General features: G+C 43.4%; 1 protein-coding gene across 35 annotated transcripts in view; it reads right to left on the bottom strand.

Moving 5' to 3' along the window:
• NFYC (nuclear transcription factor Y subunit gamma) overlaps positions 1-15,131 on the bottom strand; it is a 79,900-nt gene that overhangs the window by 33,481 nt on the left and 31,288 nt on the right. For 5 of the 35 annotated variants that reach the window (XM_047421359.1, XM_047421357.1, XM_047421358.1 and 2 more), the window contains exon 2: positions 14,849-14,915. The exons of 8 other annotated variants lie outside the window; for them this stretch is intronic. In XM_047421359.1, coding sequence (XP_047277315.1) covers positions 14,849-14,915 — 67 coding nt within the window. Of the gene's footprint in view, positions 1-2,372; positions 3,978-5,377; positions 5,443-7,516; positions 9,551-14,330; positions 14,439-14,848; positions 14,916-15,131 lie in introns of those variants that run through there. 22 more of the 35 variants (XM_047421348.1, XM_006710660.4, XM_047421337.1 and 19 more) reach the window with 18 other exon arrangements.

The following is a 15,131-nucleotide window of genomic DNA, read 5'->3' as shown; positions in this document are numbered from 1 at the left end:
AGACCATCCTGGCTAAAACAGTGAAACCCCGTCTCTACTAAAAATACAAAAAATTAGCCGGGCGTAGTGGCGGGCGCCTGTAGTCCCAGCTACTTGGGAGGCTGAGGCAGGAGAATGGCGTGAACCCGGGAGGCGGAGCTTGCAGTGAGCCGAGATCCCGCCACTGCACTCCAGCCTGGGCGACAGAGCGAGACTCCGTCTCAAAAAAAAAAAAAAAAAAAGAGAGAGAGCACGCTAAGTTTCTTCTTTTGTTTTAGACACTGTGATCCTGTTTCTCTGGGGCTCCTGATGATGATTATTCCTTCTAATCTCAGACAAATCTGTCTCAAAGGACATGAGGCCATTAACTGTGTAGGTAACATGAAGCCCCTGAAATGAAACTACTTGCCAGTTCGCCCAGTTCTTTCCTAACCTTAACCATGTTATTAAACACAAGCCTAACACAGCACACTGGCAACTGGAAGCCTTAAAGACAGTTAAAAAAACGAAGGAGAGGCCAGGTGCGGTGGCTCATGCCTGTAATCCAAACACTCTGGGAAGCCGAGGCAGGTGGATCACCTGAGGTCAAAAGTTCGAGACCAGCCTGGGCAACATGGTGAAACCCCATCTCTACTAAAAATACAAAAATTAGCCGGGCGTGGCGGCAGACGCTTGTAATCCCAGTTACTCAGGAGGCTGAGGCAGGAGAATCGCTTGAACCCAGGAGGCAGAGGTTGCAGTGAGCCAAGATCACGCCATTGCACTCCAGCCTGGGCAACAGAGCAAGACTCCATCGCAAAAAAAAAAAAAGTAGAATTAAAATTAGGATAGAGAAAGAGGGCTAGAACCTGCAATTTAGTCAACTGCTTTGTGACAAAGGAGGGAAGATGAATAAGGATCCTCATGTCAGCTATAACTGTAGATAACACAGGTTGAGTATCCCTTATCTGAAATTCTGAAATGCCTGGGGACCAGAAATGTCTGGGATTTTGACTTTTTTTTTTTTTTTTTTTTTTGAGACAGAGTTTCGCTCTTGTTGCCCAGACTGGAGTGCAGTGGTGCAATTTCAGCTCACTGCAACCTCTGCCTCCCAGGTTCATGTGATTCTCCTGCCTCAGCCTCCTGAGTAGCTGGGATTACAGGCATCTGCCACCACGCCTAGCTAATTTTTTATATTTTTAGTAAAGATGGGGTTTCGCCATGTTGGCCAGGCTGCCTCAAACTCCTGACCTCAGATGATCCACCTGCCTCGTCCTCCCAAAGTGCTGGGATTACAGGCGTGAGCCACCGCGCCCAGCCTTTTTTTTTTTTTTTTTTTTTTTTGGAATAAGTTTGCATTATACTTACTGGTTGAGCATCCCAAATCTGAAAATCCAAAATCGAAAATGAGCATTTCCTTTGAGCGTCATGTCAGGGCTCAAAAAGTTTCGGATTTCAGATTTTCAGATTAAGGATACTCAACCTGTATTGTAATGTCTTAAGCGCTTATCTGGCAAATATTAAAATGCAAGAACAGTTTAATTAAACACAAAGAATGGAGAAATTTAGTGCTCTCCTAAGAATCTCTATTCTGAGGAATTATTTGAAAAGGTTTAACGTGCCAGTGACGGGATGCTGGCAGGGAGCTATGTGAGCCATTAGGAACTAATTCTGAGGGGCTGAAAGCAAAGCACCAAAGCCAGTTGTCACATGACCAGACTTGTTACTTTCCAGGCTCCATGTGGATACATACTGGGCAGAACACTCTATCACAGCAGAATGGAATGAAAGCTGACAACTCTAGGTTTAGCCTGTGGGGATGTCCAATTCACTCTTAAATGTTTACAGGTCTCTGATTTTTTTCTTTTTTTTTCCTTCCCTTTTCCTTCTAAAGGAAATGATGAGGGGAAAGAAATGGAAGGAAAACAACAATACAAGCCTCAAAGCAGATTTCATTCTGGTGTAATGACATTAGTGGGTGATGATGTAATGGGAATAGGTTTGGAGCCAATTTCTTGTGGTGGAGGCCTATAAACAGCTGAACAGAAATTCTAGTACCTGGGATACAATATGATCTTGGAGTTTCTGAAGGGAGTTAAAGGGAAGTGTTCAATCACAGTTGAAAATGACTAGATAAAATCTTAAGTCCTAAATAACCAAGTAAGACCCCTGCATTTTCATTTATCACCACATACACATGGCCTATATGCTACTCTCTTAGATGTACTGAGAACAACAACAAAAAAATTAAGGTAATCTAGAGAAGTTTAGTTATTTATCATTATTAATAGTTTTCTACAAGGTACTCATGAAAATGAAGACAGTGACTCAATTTAACCTTTTTTAAATGGGGCAAACAAAAATATCTTTCTGGAAATAATAATAATTATCAAAAAGCTTTAAAAGAATCTAACCTTTTATTGCATGGGTCCCTGGACAGGCCTCATCTTGGCACAATCTGCCATGCAAACTGCTAAGGTCAAAGGAGAAAGATGCACAATTGCCAGGACGATATCTCTGTACACTTGCTAATGGATGGGTAGGTTTAGTTGGAGTACAAAGACCTGTACGATTTAAAAGTCTGGTAACAAATTCTGGCTGTCCTCTGATATCCCCCCAAAACATTACAAAGGTACACAATTCAAAAAGCACGTCTAGAACCATCTGTGCAGTCTGCTTTTAAATTTTGAACTGTCCCAACTACAGATGTGCAGGCATGATCAGCCCGCAAACATCTGTGTAGTCAACAGATCATGAATCTTTGGCTGGCTCAGAGCCACATACTGTAGTAGTGGAAGTTAGGTACAAAACAGAAGTTATCAAATTTTTTTGGAACTGAAAATGTATTAAAGGTTAAGTTTTAAAATTGAGAAGCCCATCTACATTAGGAAATCCCAAATAGGTAAAGCGAAAAATACAAGTCAATAATATCCTTTACATTTTACTGCATCATAGAAGTTCAGGACTGAAAAAAAAAAAAAAAGACATAAGGAGACACTCAGGCCCACCCCTTCATAAGACGCTCGCAGCTTTTCTTCAACCTCTGCCCAACCCCGGGTGATTCTACCTTAAGTGTTCAACCAGCTTACATTTGAGGGCCCCCCCACTCCAGTTCTGGGAAACTGGCTTACTGGTAAGACATTCTTTCCCATCTTTGGACAGCTCTAACTGTTCTTCTTTACATTAGGTTTTAGAGTTATGGCCTTTATGATTTTTCCATCCAGCAAACTCTTTTTATAAATTCCTGACTTCGAAAGACAAAGGTAATCTTCTTTTGAAGGACACAAGTTCTTCTCACCAGGAAAAAAGAGAAAAAGGTTTGAAGCATGTTTTCTAACATCTTTGCAGATATTATTAGTAATGTCTCTTAGAAGAACATAAATTGTTAATGTAAATTCCTGGAAAAAGTGAGTACTTTTATTCAAAAGGCTTTTCCTAAAGCAGATCCATTCTTTGCATGGAGCTTTAAAAACACCCAACAATTAATATTATATATATAAAGCAGGCCGGGCACGGTGGTTCACGTCTGTAATCCCAGCACTTTGGGAGGCCAAGGCGGGTGGATCACCTGAGGTCAGGAGTTCGAGACCAGCCTGGCCAACATGGTGAAACCTCATCTCTACTAAAAATGCAAAAATTAGCTGGCTGTGGTGGCACATGCCTGTAGTCCCAGCTACTCGGGAACCAAGGAGGTGGAGGCTGCAAACCCAGGAGGTGGAGGTTGCAGTGAGCCGAGGTCATGCCACTGCACTCCAGCCTGGGTGACAGAGCAAGACTCCATCTCAAAATAAATAAATAAATAAATAAATAAATAAATAAATAAAGCAACCGTAGTTAATCACCTCTTATTTTAATGCATTAATTGCAAATAAATTGATTTTGCTACAGAAGTAGTCCATTTACAACATCTACAAGCCCATGGAAAATATTCTGGGTTCATCTTCTAGGATAATAAGGGAAAGAATGTATTTAAAAGTAAGAGGAGGCTGGGTGTTGTGGCTTATGTCTGTAATCCCAACAACTCCGGAGGCTGAGACAGGAGAATCACTTCAGGCCAGTAGTTTGAGACCAGCCTTGGCAACACAGTGAGACTCTGTCTCTAAAAAAAGGATTTTTTAAGGCCAGGGGCTGTGGCTCACACCTGTAATCCCAACACTTTGGGAGGCTGAGGTGGAGGATCACTTGAGGTCAGGAGTTCAAGACCAGCCTGGCTAATATAGCAAAACCCTGTTTCTACTAAAAACACAAAATACATTAGCCGAGCATGGTGGCACATGCTTATAATCCCAGCTACTTGGGAGGCTGAGGCAACAGTTTCACTGGAACCTGGGAAGCGGAGGTTGCAGTGAGTCAAGATAATGCCACTGCACAACAGCCTGGGCGACAGAGCGAGACTCCATCTCAAAAAGAAGAATAAAAAAAAAATTTTTAAATAGGCATTGTGGCACACACGTGTAAGTCTTAGCTACTCAGGAGGCTGAGGCAGAAGGATCTCCTGGGCCCAGGAGTTTGAGGCTACAGTGAGCTATGATCACACCACTGCACTCCAGCCTGGGCAACAGAGGGAGACCCTGCCTCAAAAAAATTATAATAATAAAAAATACAAGAAAAAAGAGACTCATTCCAGGATCCTCTTCATTCCATGTTAAACTACTCTTTCTCTCTATTTTTTTTTTCTCAAAGCCAGGGTTTCGCTCTGTTGCCCAGGCTGGAGTGCAATGGTGTGATCTTGGCTCACTGCAGCCTCTACCTCCTGGGCTCAAGCAATCCTCCTACCACAGCCTCCCAAGTAGCTGGGACTACAGGCACTCAACTCAATTACTATCTCTCCACGAAGTATTCTCTACTGCTTTCTGGAACTGGTCCCTCCCTTGGGAGCATTAAGGAGGCCCGATCTGCACCTCTCTTTCTGTCCTCACCACATTACCTTGTACAATCATTGTATTTGATACCTTGTATGACATACACATCAATGTGTATGTCTTATTTCCCCTCCTGCTATACAAGCTCCTTGAGGGTAGGATCTGCATATGATTCATCTCTCTGGATCCCTCACAGTATCCAGCACACAGTCTGATAACTAATTACCCCTAAGAGGAGGTGCAAGACTGATGCTGGGTATGGCCTTTCAGGAAAAAAAAAAAAGGGGGGGGGGGCGAATCTTGGAAAGCTTGGCCCTGACATACTTATTGGAATTGCCTAACCAAAGGAAATGGTTACACAAGCTATTCCAGAAGCTTAGACTAAATGAGCTCCAGGACTTTAAAGCAAGACTGCAATCAGAAATCTACCTGAAACTGATTTACTGAAATGGATTTAAAATAAAAGGGGATGACAGAAAGGACACACACACACAAACATCTAAGACAGTGCTGGAAGCTGAAAGGCAGACTTGAAGGCTGGAAATGTGGATGCATACCATTCTCAAGTGTAAATCTTTTCAAAGTCAGAACCTCTTCAGAAAAGTGACCAGGATAGATTAGCAAAGTCTGAAATATTAATGACAATGGGTAAGTAGGAGGAAGATAAATACCTCTGCCTGGCCATCCATTAGCAAGAAGGGGAAAATCATGCAGAAGTGAGATGATTTGATCAGACCACTGATGAGTGGGCAATCTAGCTGTTACTCTTATATCCAGTTACTCTTTATCATTCTTAAAGAAAAAAATGAAACTTCAGAAGTTTTCAAAACATCCCAAAATCAGAGTGTTCCTTTTAAAATTGTTTGGAAATCTTTCAAGCTCTTGCTCTCAACCAGGTACCATGCCTGCCAAATCTTCTCTTAGTGATATGCCTGGGCATGGAACAACAGGATGTATCAAAATTATCAACCTCATAAATAAAAAGAAATCTAAGGTTTTATTGCAATATGACCTGGTTTCTGAAACTCAGGACCTTTAGACTTCAGTTCAGCTCTCTATTCCTTGGCATGTACTTCATTCTCTATACCAAACTCTTTTATAGTAGCCTAAACCCACAATACAGCTCTTTGAGGTAACTAAAACTAAATAGATGTTGTTGGGAGATAATACTTAAAAACCTAACATCACAACAACTGTCCAAGGGAAAAAGACCACAGGAAGCTCCGCTAAAATGAAACCCAATTCTTGACCAATGCTGCTTCCAATTAAAGCAAAGTTAAGTCCTCCCTTAATGTCTTCGATAGGCTCTTGGAAACCGCAACTTAAGCCAAACATATAACAAAACCAATTTTACCAAAGGCTAATTGACATAAATAAGAGTTAGTTCCTATTCCATATTTCTGGTCACAAAAACATCACCAAACTTCTAAATAAAGATCAAGACACTTCTAATATTAAACACTGAAATAAGTATGAACTATACATACATTGAAGAAAGATTAAGAAAAATAAAGGCCGGGGCCAGGCGCGGTGGCTCACGCCTGTAAACCCAGCACTTTGAGAGGCCGAGGTGGGCAGATCACGAGGTCAGGAGATTGAGACCATCCTGGCCAACATGGTGAAACCCCATCTCTACTAAAAATATAAAAAATTAGCTGGGTGTGGTGGCGTACACCTGTAGTCCCAGCTACTCAGGAGGCTGAGGCGGGGGAATCGCTTGAATCCAGGAGGTGGAGGCTGCAGTGAGCTGAGGTCGCGCCACTGCACTAGAGCCTGGCAACAGAGCAAGACTCTGTCCCCCGCCCCCGCCAAAAGAAAAAGAAAAAGAAAGGCCAGGTGCGGTGGCTCACACCTGTAACCCCAACTTTGGGAGGCTGAGGCAGGAGGATCACCTGAGGTCAGGAGTTCAAGACCAGCCTGGCCAACATGGTAAAACCCTGTCTCTACTAAAAATACAAAAATTAGCCAGGCATGGTGGCAGGCGCCTGTAATCCCAGCTACTTGGGAGGCTAAGGCATGAGAATCGCTTGAACCCAGGAGGTGGAGGTTGCAGTGAACCAAGATCATGCCACTGCACTCCATACTGGGATACAGCAAGACTCCGTCCCAAAAAAAAAAGTAAGATGATTATTTATCCAATTATTCCAGTTCAGGGTTGCAGATGATTGAAGCCTATCCCAACAGTTCAGGGCACAAGGTGGGAACCAAGCCTGGACAACTCAATCACAGGGCACACTCTCACTCAGGCTGAGACAATTTAGATGTGCCAATTAACCTAACATGCACATATTCGGGATGCAAGAAGAAAGCAGAGTACTGGAAAAAAAACCAAACAGACGTGGGGACAATGCTCAAACTCCACACAGAGAGTGACCCCGGCCAGGAACTGGTTTCTTTTTTCTTCATCAATATTATAATCAAACAACATTGTCTGAAGACCCTCTGTACTACTAGTTGAACCATCCTGGGAAGACATGTTTTACCTAAAAATAATGCTCTCACTGTCAAATGCAAACAAATATATCTTAGCTCAGTACTGACTAAGAAACAAATATAATGTTGGTATTATCATTCCCCTTTAATGTTCCCCAAACCGACTTGCAGCCCTTAGGCTTTTTGGGTTGAGTTCCCAACCATTCCTGTGCATCTCCAACTTAACATGTCAACAAGTATCTCTCTATGATCAAGGCACTTACCTTCTTCACTCACTTTTGTGACTTGCATTTTGATCATATCTTCCTCTGTCATGAGGTGACATCCTTTTTACAACTATACCTTGTTTTATTGCATTTCACTTTATTGTGCTTCACAGATACTGCTCTACCAACTGGCCATTCCCACCTCGGGCCTCCCTATTACCTGAGACACAGCAATACTGAAATTACGCCACTTAATAACCCTACAACGGCCTCTAAGCGTTCAAGTAAAAGAACAGTCTCACATCTTTCACTTAAAAGCTAAAGGCCAGGTGTGGTGGCTCACGCCTGTAATCCCAGAACTTTGAGGCACCAAGGAGGGCTGACTGCATGAATCCAGGAGTTCGAGACCAGCTTGGCAACACAGAGAGACACCCCCTATCTCTACCAAAAAAAAAAAAAAAAAAAAAAGAAAAGAAAGAAAAATTAGCCAGTCCTGCTGATGGCATGCACCTGTGGTCCTAGCTACTCAGAAGGCTGAGGTGGGAGGATCACTTGGGCAGCAGTGAGCTATGATCATGCCACCACACTCCAGCCTGGGTGACAGAACAAAACTCTGTCTCTAACTCAATCAATCGAAAGCTAGAAATGATTAAGCTTAGTGAGGAAAGCACATCAAAAGCTGATATGGGGCTGGGCGCGGTGGCTCATGCCTGTAATCCCAGCACTTTGGGAGGCCGAGGCGGGTGGATCACCTGAGGTCAGGAGTTCAAGACCACCCTGACCAACATGATGAAACCCCTTCTCTACCAAAAATACAAAAATTAGCCAGGCATGGTAGTGGGCGCCTGTAATCCCAGCTACTTGGGAAGCTGAGGCAGAAGAATCTCTTGAACCCAGGAGGCGAAGGTTGCAGTCAGCTGAGATCGTACCATTGCACTCCAGCCTGGGCGACAGTGCAAGACTCCGGTTCAAAAAAAAAAAAAAGAGCTGAGATGGACCAAGAGCTAGGCCTCTTGCACCAAACACTTACCCAAGCTGTGACTGCAAAGAAAAAGTTCTTGAAGGAAATTAAAAGTGCTCCTCCAGTGAACACACAAATAAGAAAGCAAACAGCTTTATTGCTGATATGAAGAAAGTTTCAGTGGTCTAGACAGAAGATCAAACCAACCACAACATTCCTTTAAGCCAAAGCCTAATGTGGAGCAATGCCCTAACTCTCAATTCTATGAAGGCTGAGAGAGGTGAGGGGGCTGCAGAAGAAAAGTTGGTTCATGAGGTTTAAGCAAAGAAGCCATCTCCATAACATAAAAGTATAAGGTGAAGTAGCAAGTGCTAATGTAGAAGCTGCAGCAAGTTTTATCCCGAAGATCTAGCTAGAGTAATTGATGCAACTGGCTACATTAAACAACAGAATTTCAGTGCAGACAAAATGGACTTTTACTGGAAGAAGATGCCATCAAGGACTTTCATAGCTACAAAGAAGTCAATGCCTGTGGAAGCCGATGCTCATTTACCATTCCAAAAATTCTAGGGCCCTTAAGAATTATACAAAATCTACTCTGCCTGTGCTCTATAAATGGAGCAAAGCTTGGATGACAGCACATCTGTTTACAGCGTGGTTGACTATTTAAGCTCACTGTTGAGACCTACTGCTCAGAAAAAAAAGATTCCTTTGAAAATATTACTGCTCACTAACAATATACCTGGTCATCCAAAAACTGATGGAGGCTGGGAGCAGTGGCTCACGCCTGTAATCCCAACACTTTGGGAGGCCAAGGCGGGCGGATAACCTGAGGTCAGGAGTTCGAGACCAGCCTGGCCAACATAGTGAAACCCAGTCTCCATTAAAAATACAAAAATTAGCTCGGCGTGGTGGCGGGCACCTGTAATCCCAGCTACTCAAGAGGCTGAGGCAGGAGAATCGCTTAAACCCAGGAGGCAGAGGTTGCAGTGAGCCAAGATTGCACCACTGCACTCCAGCCTGGGTAGCACAGCGAGACTCCGTCTCAAAAAACAAAACAAAAAACATTAATCTGCTTGCACAACTCCATCAGAGTTTTGTTTTGTTTTGTGACAGTCTCACTCTGTCGCCCAGGCTGGAGTGCAGTGGTGCCATCTCAGGTCACTGCAACCTCCGCCTTCTGGGTTCAAGCGATTCTCATGCCCAGCCTCCCGAGTAGCTGGGATGGCAGGCATGCGCCACCACGCCCAGCTAATTTTTGTAATTTTAGTAAAGACAGGGTTTCGCCACGTTGGCCAGACTGGTCTCAAACTCTTGATTTCAAGTAATCCGCCCGCCTCAGCCTCCCAAAGTGTTGGGATTACAGGTGTAAACCATCGCGCCCAGCCGAGATTAGTATTTTAACACCTGCTAACACAATATCCATTCTGCAGCCCATGGACCAAAGAGTAATTTCAACATTCAAGTCTTATTATTGAAGAAAATACATGGCCGGGCACAGTGGCTCATGCCTATAATCCCAGCACTTTGGGAGGCCAAGGCAGAAGGATCACCTGAGGTCAGGAGTTCGAGACCATCCTGGCCAACATAATGAAACCCCATCTCTACTAAAAACACAAAAATTAGCAGGGCTTGTTGGTGCACGCCTGTAGTCCCAGCTACTCTAGAGGCCAAAGCATGAGGCTGCAGTGATCCGAGATCACACCACTGCACTCCAGCCTAGGTGACAGAGTGAGACTCTGTCTCAGAAATAAAAACACTTCATAAGGACACAGCTGCCATAGACAGGGATTCCTCAGACAGATCTGAGTAAACTGAAAACCTTCTAGACAGGATTCACCATTTTAAATACCATTAAGAATATTCATGGCAGGCTGGGCGCGGTGACTCATGCCTGTAATCCTAGCACTTTGGGAGGCCGAGGCGGGCGAATCACAAGGTCATGAGTTTGAGACCAGCCGGGCCAACATGGTGAAACCCTGTCTCTACTAAAAAAATACAAAAATTAGCCGGGCATGGTGGTGTGGGCCTGAAATCCCAGCTACTTGGAAAGCTGAGGCAGGAGAATCACTTGAATCTGGGAGGCGGAGGTTGCAGTGAGCCGAAATCGTGCCACTGCACTCCAGCCTGGGCGACAGAGCAAGACTTTGTCTCAAAAAAAAAAAAAAAAGAATATTCATGGCCAGGCACAGTGCCTCAGGCCTGTAATTCCAGCAGTTTGGGAGGCCAAGGCGGGAGGACTGCTTTAGCTCAGGACTTCAAAACCAGCCTGGGCAACATGGCAAAACCTGTCTCTACAAAAAATACAAAAATTAGCTGGTTGTGGTGGCACATGCTTATTGTCCCAACTACTTAGGAGGCTGAGGTGGGAGGATCACTTGAGCCTGGGAGATCAGGGCTGCAGTGAGCCAAGATCTTGCTACTGCACTCCAGTCTGGGCAACAGAGTAAGACCCTGTCTCAAAAACCAACCAACCAACCAACCAACCAAACAAACAAACAAAAAAAGCCATTCAAAATTCATGGGAGGAAGTCAAAATATAAACATTAACAGGAGTCTGAAGTTGATTCCAATCCTCCTGGATGATTTTGAGGGGTTTGAGACTTCAGTGGAAGAAGTAACTGTAGATGTGGTAGAAATAGCAAGAGAACTGTAATTAGAAGCGGAGCCTGAGATGTGACTGGATTGCTGCAATCTCATGATAAAACTTTAACAGATGAGGAGTTGCTTCTTATGGAAGGCAAAGAAAGTCGTTCCTTGAAATGGAACCTACTCCCAGTGAAAATGCTATGAACATTAGAATATTATATAAACTTAGTTCATAAAATAGTGGCAGGATTTGAGAGGACAAACTCCAGTTTTGAAAGAAGCTCTACTCTGGGTAAAATGCTATCAAACAGAAAAGCAGCTACAGAGAAATCTTTCATGAAAGGAAGAGTCAACTGAAGCAACAAACTTCACTGCTGCCTTATTTTAAGAAATTGCCAGCCAGGCACAGTGGCTCACGCCAGTAATCCCAGCACTTTGGGAGGCTAGGGCAAGAGGATCACTTCAGCCCAGGAGTTTGAGACATCAAGATCAGTCTGGGCAACACAGGAGACCCTGTCTATACAAAAAATACAAAAATCAGCTGGGTGTGGTGGCACGTGTCTGTAGTCCCAGCTACTTGGGAGGCTGAAGTAGGAGGATGGCTTGAACCTGGAAGGCAGAGGTTGCAATCAGCCAAGATCATGACACTGTACTCCAGCCTGGGTGACAGTGTGGAGAGAGGAAAAAAAAAAAACAGGCCAGATGCGGTGGCTCACGCCTGTAATCCCAGCACTTTGGGAGACTGAGGTGGGTGGATCACCTGAGGTCAGGAGTTCGAAACCAGCCTGGCCAACATGGTGAAACCCCGTCTCTACTAAAAATACAAAAATTAGCTGGGCATGGTGGTGCGGGCCTGCAATCCCAGCTACTTGGGAAGCTGGGGCAGCAGAATCGCTTGAGCCCAGGAGGCAGAGGTTGCAGTGAGCTGAGATGGCGCCACTGCACTCCAGCCTGAGCAACAGGAGCGAAACTCCATCTCAAAAAAAAACACACACACACACACACAAACACATACACAGAAATTGCCAAAGCCACCCCAAACTTCAGCAACTACCACCCGAATCAGTCAGCAGCCATCATCATCAAGTCAAGACCCTCAAGCAGCAAAAGGTTATGACTTGCTGCAAGTTCAGATGATAATTTGCATTTTTACCAATAAGGTATTTTAAAATTAAAATAAGCACATTTTTTAGACATTATGCTGTTGCACACTTAATAGGCTACACTATAATATAAACATAACTTCTATTTGCACTGGGAAACCAACAAATTTGTGTGACTCTCTTTATTATAATGTTAGCTTTATTGTATTTTGCCCTAGTGGCAGCACTATCACAAGCATTTTATGTACCAGTACTGCTCAGGTATTTACTGAGGTTAGTTCTAGGTTTCTTCATTTAAATGAGCTAAGGTTTGTAAGATGTTATATTTTAAATGATGATGGGAGATACAGAGAAAGGAAGAATATTAATAAAAATAAATGGATGGATGAGGGAAAGGGGGGTAGGATTTATTTACTAACAGACTATTTGGTTTTTATGTTTACACAGATGGACCTTAGGACTTATGCTATTATCGATCACAACAGCTAAAAAGCATTTCTTAAGAAGGCTTATACTCTCCAAAATAAAACCAATCTAAAATTGACAATTTCACAAGAAGAAAAACAGCACTGGTCTGGAAATTAAAAGACCTACGTCTGTGTACTGGACGCTTGCTGCCTACTAGCTGGTGGCCCTGGGCCAGTCACTCTACTAAGCCACTCCAGCAATGATGTATACTGAACACATTCCAAAGGGGTCTCTGGTGGTTTGGTGGGGAAGTCCTACACTTCACTACTTGAAGATGCAATAAATGAATGAATACAAGGGAAGGCAAAGTGACTAGAGAGAAGAGAAGGTTCAATAGTCTCTATTTAAACTCATCTAAGGTTTTTATATAGTCATGCAGGAAACTAAGTTCAGGCACTACGTTTAGTGCCTGAAACCTTATTACTTACATTCTAAACCCTTACATAGCTGGGTACCAGCTGGTCATATTTACTGGCAGGCTACTGAATAGTCTTCACTACTATAATACAAGAATGAATAACATAGCTCTACTTCCCCAACTCTGATTAATGCCAAGTTTGACGTTTGAAGGTATATCTGTGTTAAGAGGAAGCCGCTTTTCAAAGTGCCTACTGGAAAACCATGCTTCCTAAAAGACTTAGGCTTAGAAGTGGCTGCACACTGCTCTCCTTAAAGATCTGTACACAAGGACACATTTTCAAACTGGCAGAAGAGCCACTTTTCCTTCAAAAACAAAAATACTTTTCTATTTGGTATCTAGTACAATATAATCTTTGAAACAGGGGCCAGATCATAATATAGTTGTAGCACAACTAGAGAAAAATGAAGGCACAGCAACTGGTATAAACAATGAAAGTGACGGGAAGGCATGAACAGAACATTTGAAAACTTTTTTCTGTGGAATAGAAAACGATATGTAACATCTTACTTCACACACATTCTTACTCATCCTTTCAATGCTCAAACTTAAACCATCTCTGCATATATAACAGCAATAAAACACTATCAGTATTTTGTATGATGAAGAAAAAGGATCAAGTATTTAGTGAAGTATTCTAAAGCAAGGGTCTAAAAACTACAGCTCATAGGCCACATCTGGCCTACAGCCTGTTTTTAGAAACAGTTTCACTGGAAGACATCAACCCTAATTATTTATTTATTTATTCATTTACTTTTAGACGGAGCCTCAGTCTGTCATCCAGGCTGGAGTACAATGGCACGATCTCGGCTCACTGCAACCTCCACCTCCCGGGTTCAAGCGATTCTCCCACCTCAGCCTCCCAAGCAGCTGGGATTATAGGCACCCGCCATCACACCCAGCTAATTTTTGTATTTTTGAAGAGACGGGTTTCACCATGTTGACCAGGTTGGTCTTGAACTCCTGACCTTAAGTGATCTGCCCACCTCGGCCTCCCAAAACGCTGGGATTACAGGCGTGAGCCACCATGTCCAGCCCCTAATTAGTTTATATTGTCTGTTCATGCTAAACAGTAGAGTTGAAGAGTTACAACAAAAATCATACAGCCACAAAGCCTAAAATATCTGGCCCTTTAAGGAAAAAGGTTCAGCCAGGCATGGTAGCTCATGCCTCTAATCCTAGCACTCTGGGAGGCCAAGGCGGGAGGATCACTTGAACCCAAGAGCTCGAGATCAGCCTGGGCAACATAGTGAGACCCCCATCTCAATAGAAAATAAAAAATAAAAAACTAGCCAGGTGTAGTGGCCCACACCTGTAGTCCCAGCTACTCACGAGGCTGAGGCGGGAGGACTGCTTGAGCCTGGGTGGTCAAGCCTGCAGTGAGCCATGATTGCGCCACTGCACTCCAGCCTGAGCAGGAACAGCAGAGCAAGATCCTGTCTCAAAAAAAAAAGAAAAGAAAAGAAAAAGTTTCAGATAATATTCTGATCTTGTTTTAAAGCACTGTTAGGTGTTTTATTTATCCCTGATTTACTGATGGGGAAACTGACACTAGAAGTTGAGAAGCTGGTCCTAGATCACACAACTGTTACTTAGCTCCCCTGCCTCCCTCACCTGTTCATCCTCAATTAGAAGTAAGCTGGGCCAGACCCCCTCTGCCCCACAGAAGTATCTGTTAGTCTCTCTGACCCTCCAGCCTAACGAGTAAATAAATCCTTGTAGGAAGAATGGTGAGTAACTGGTTTTTCAGGCCTCAATCCCGAAAAGGAATTGTGACATGAGCTAGAGACAGAAAGAGTGCCTGTAGCCTAAGTTAAGTTGTATTCTAAAACAAAGCATCATTTTCTTACCGGGTGCCTTCTGAGATTCACAAACAGCCTCTTGCCCAGTTTCTGGCAGTATCCTGTGTTTGTGTGTCTAGCAGAGGGAAGAAGTGTGATTCTGAAGAATGTTTCATAGATGCCAACTTACGGGCTTCAGAGTTCATAAAATACATGCCACATACATCATCCTCAATTGACCCTTACTTAGCTCAGTGATAAATTTACCAATATTATTCCAATTTTACAGATAAGGTTGAGGGTTGAATATCAAATTACTTGCTCAAGATCACAATACAATAAATGATGAGTC

Source organism: Homo sapiens, chromosome 1 (assembly GCF_000001405.40).
Source record: "Homo sapiens chromosome 1, GRCh38.p14 Primary Assembly".
NCBI classification, from domain to species: Eukaryota; Metazoa; Chordata; class Mammalia; order Primates; family Hominidae; genus Homo; species Homo sapiens.
Note: the sequence above shows the minus strand (reverse complement) of the source record. Positions and strands in the feature narration are given on the sequence as shown.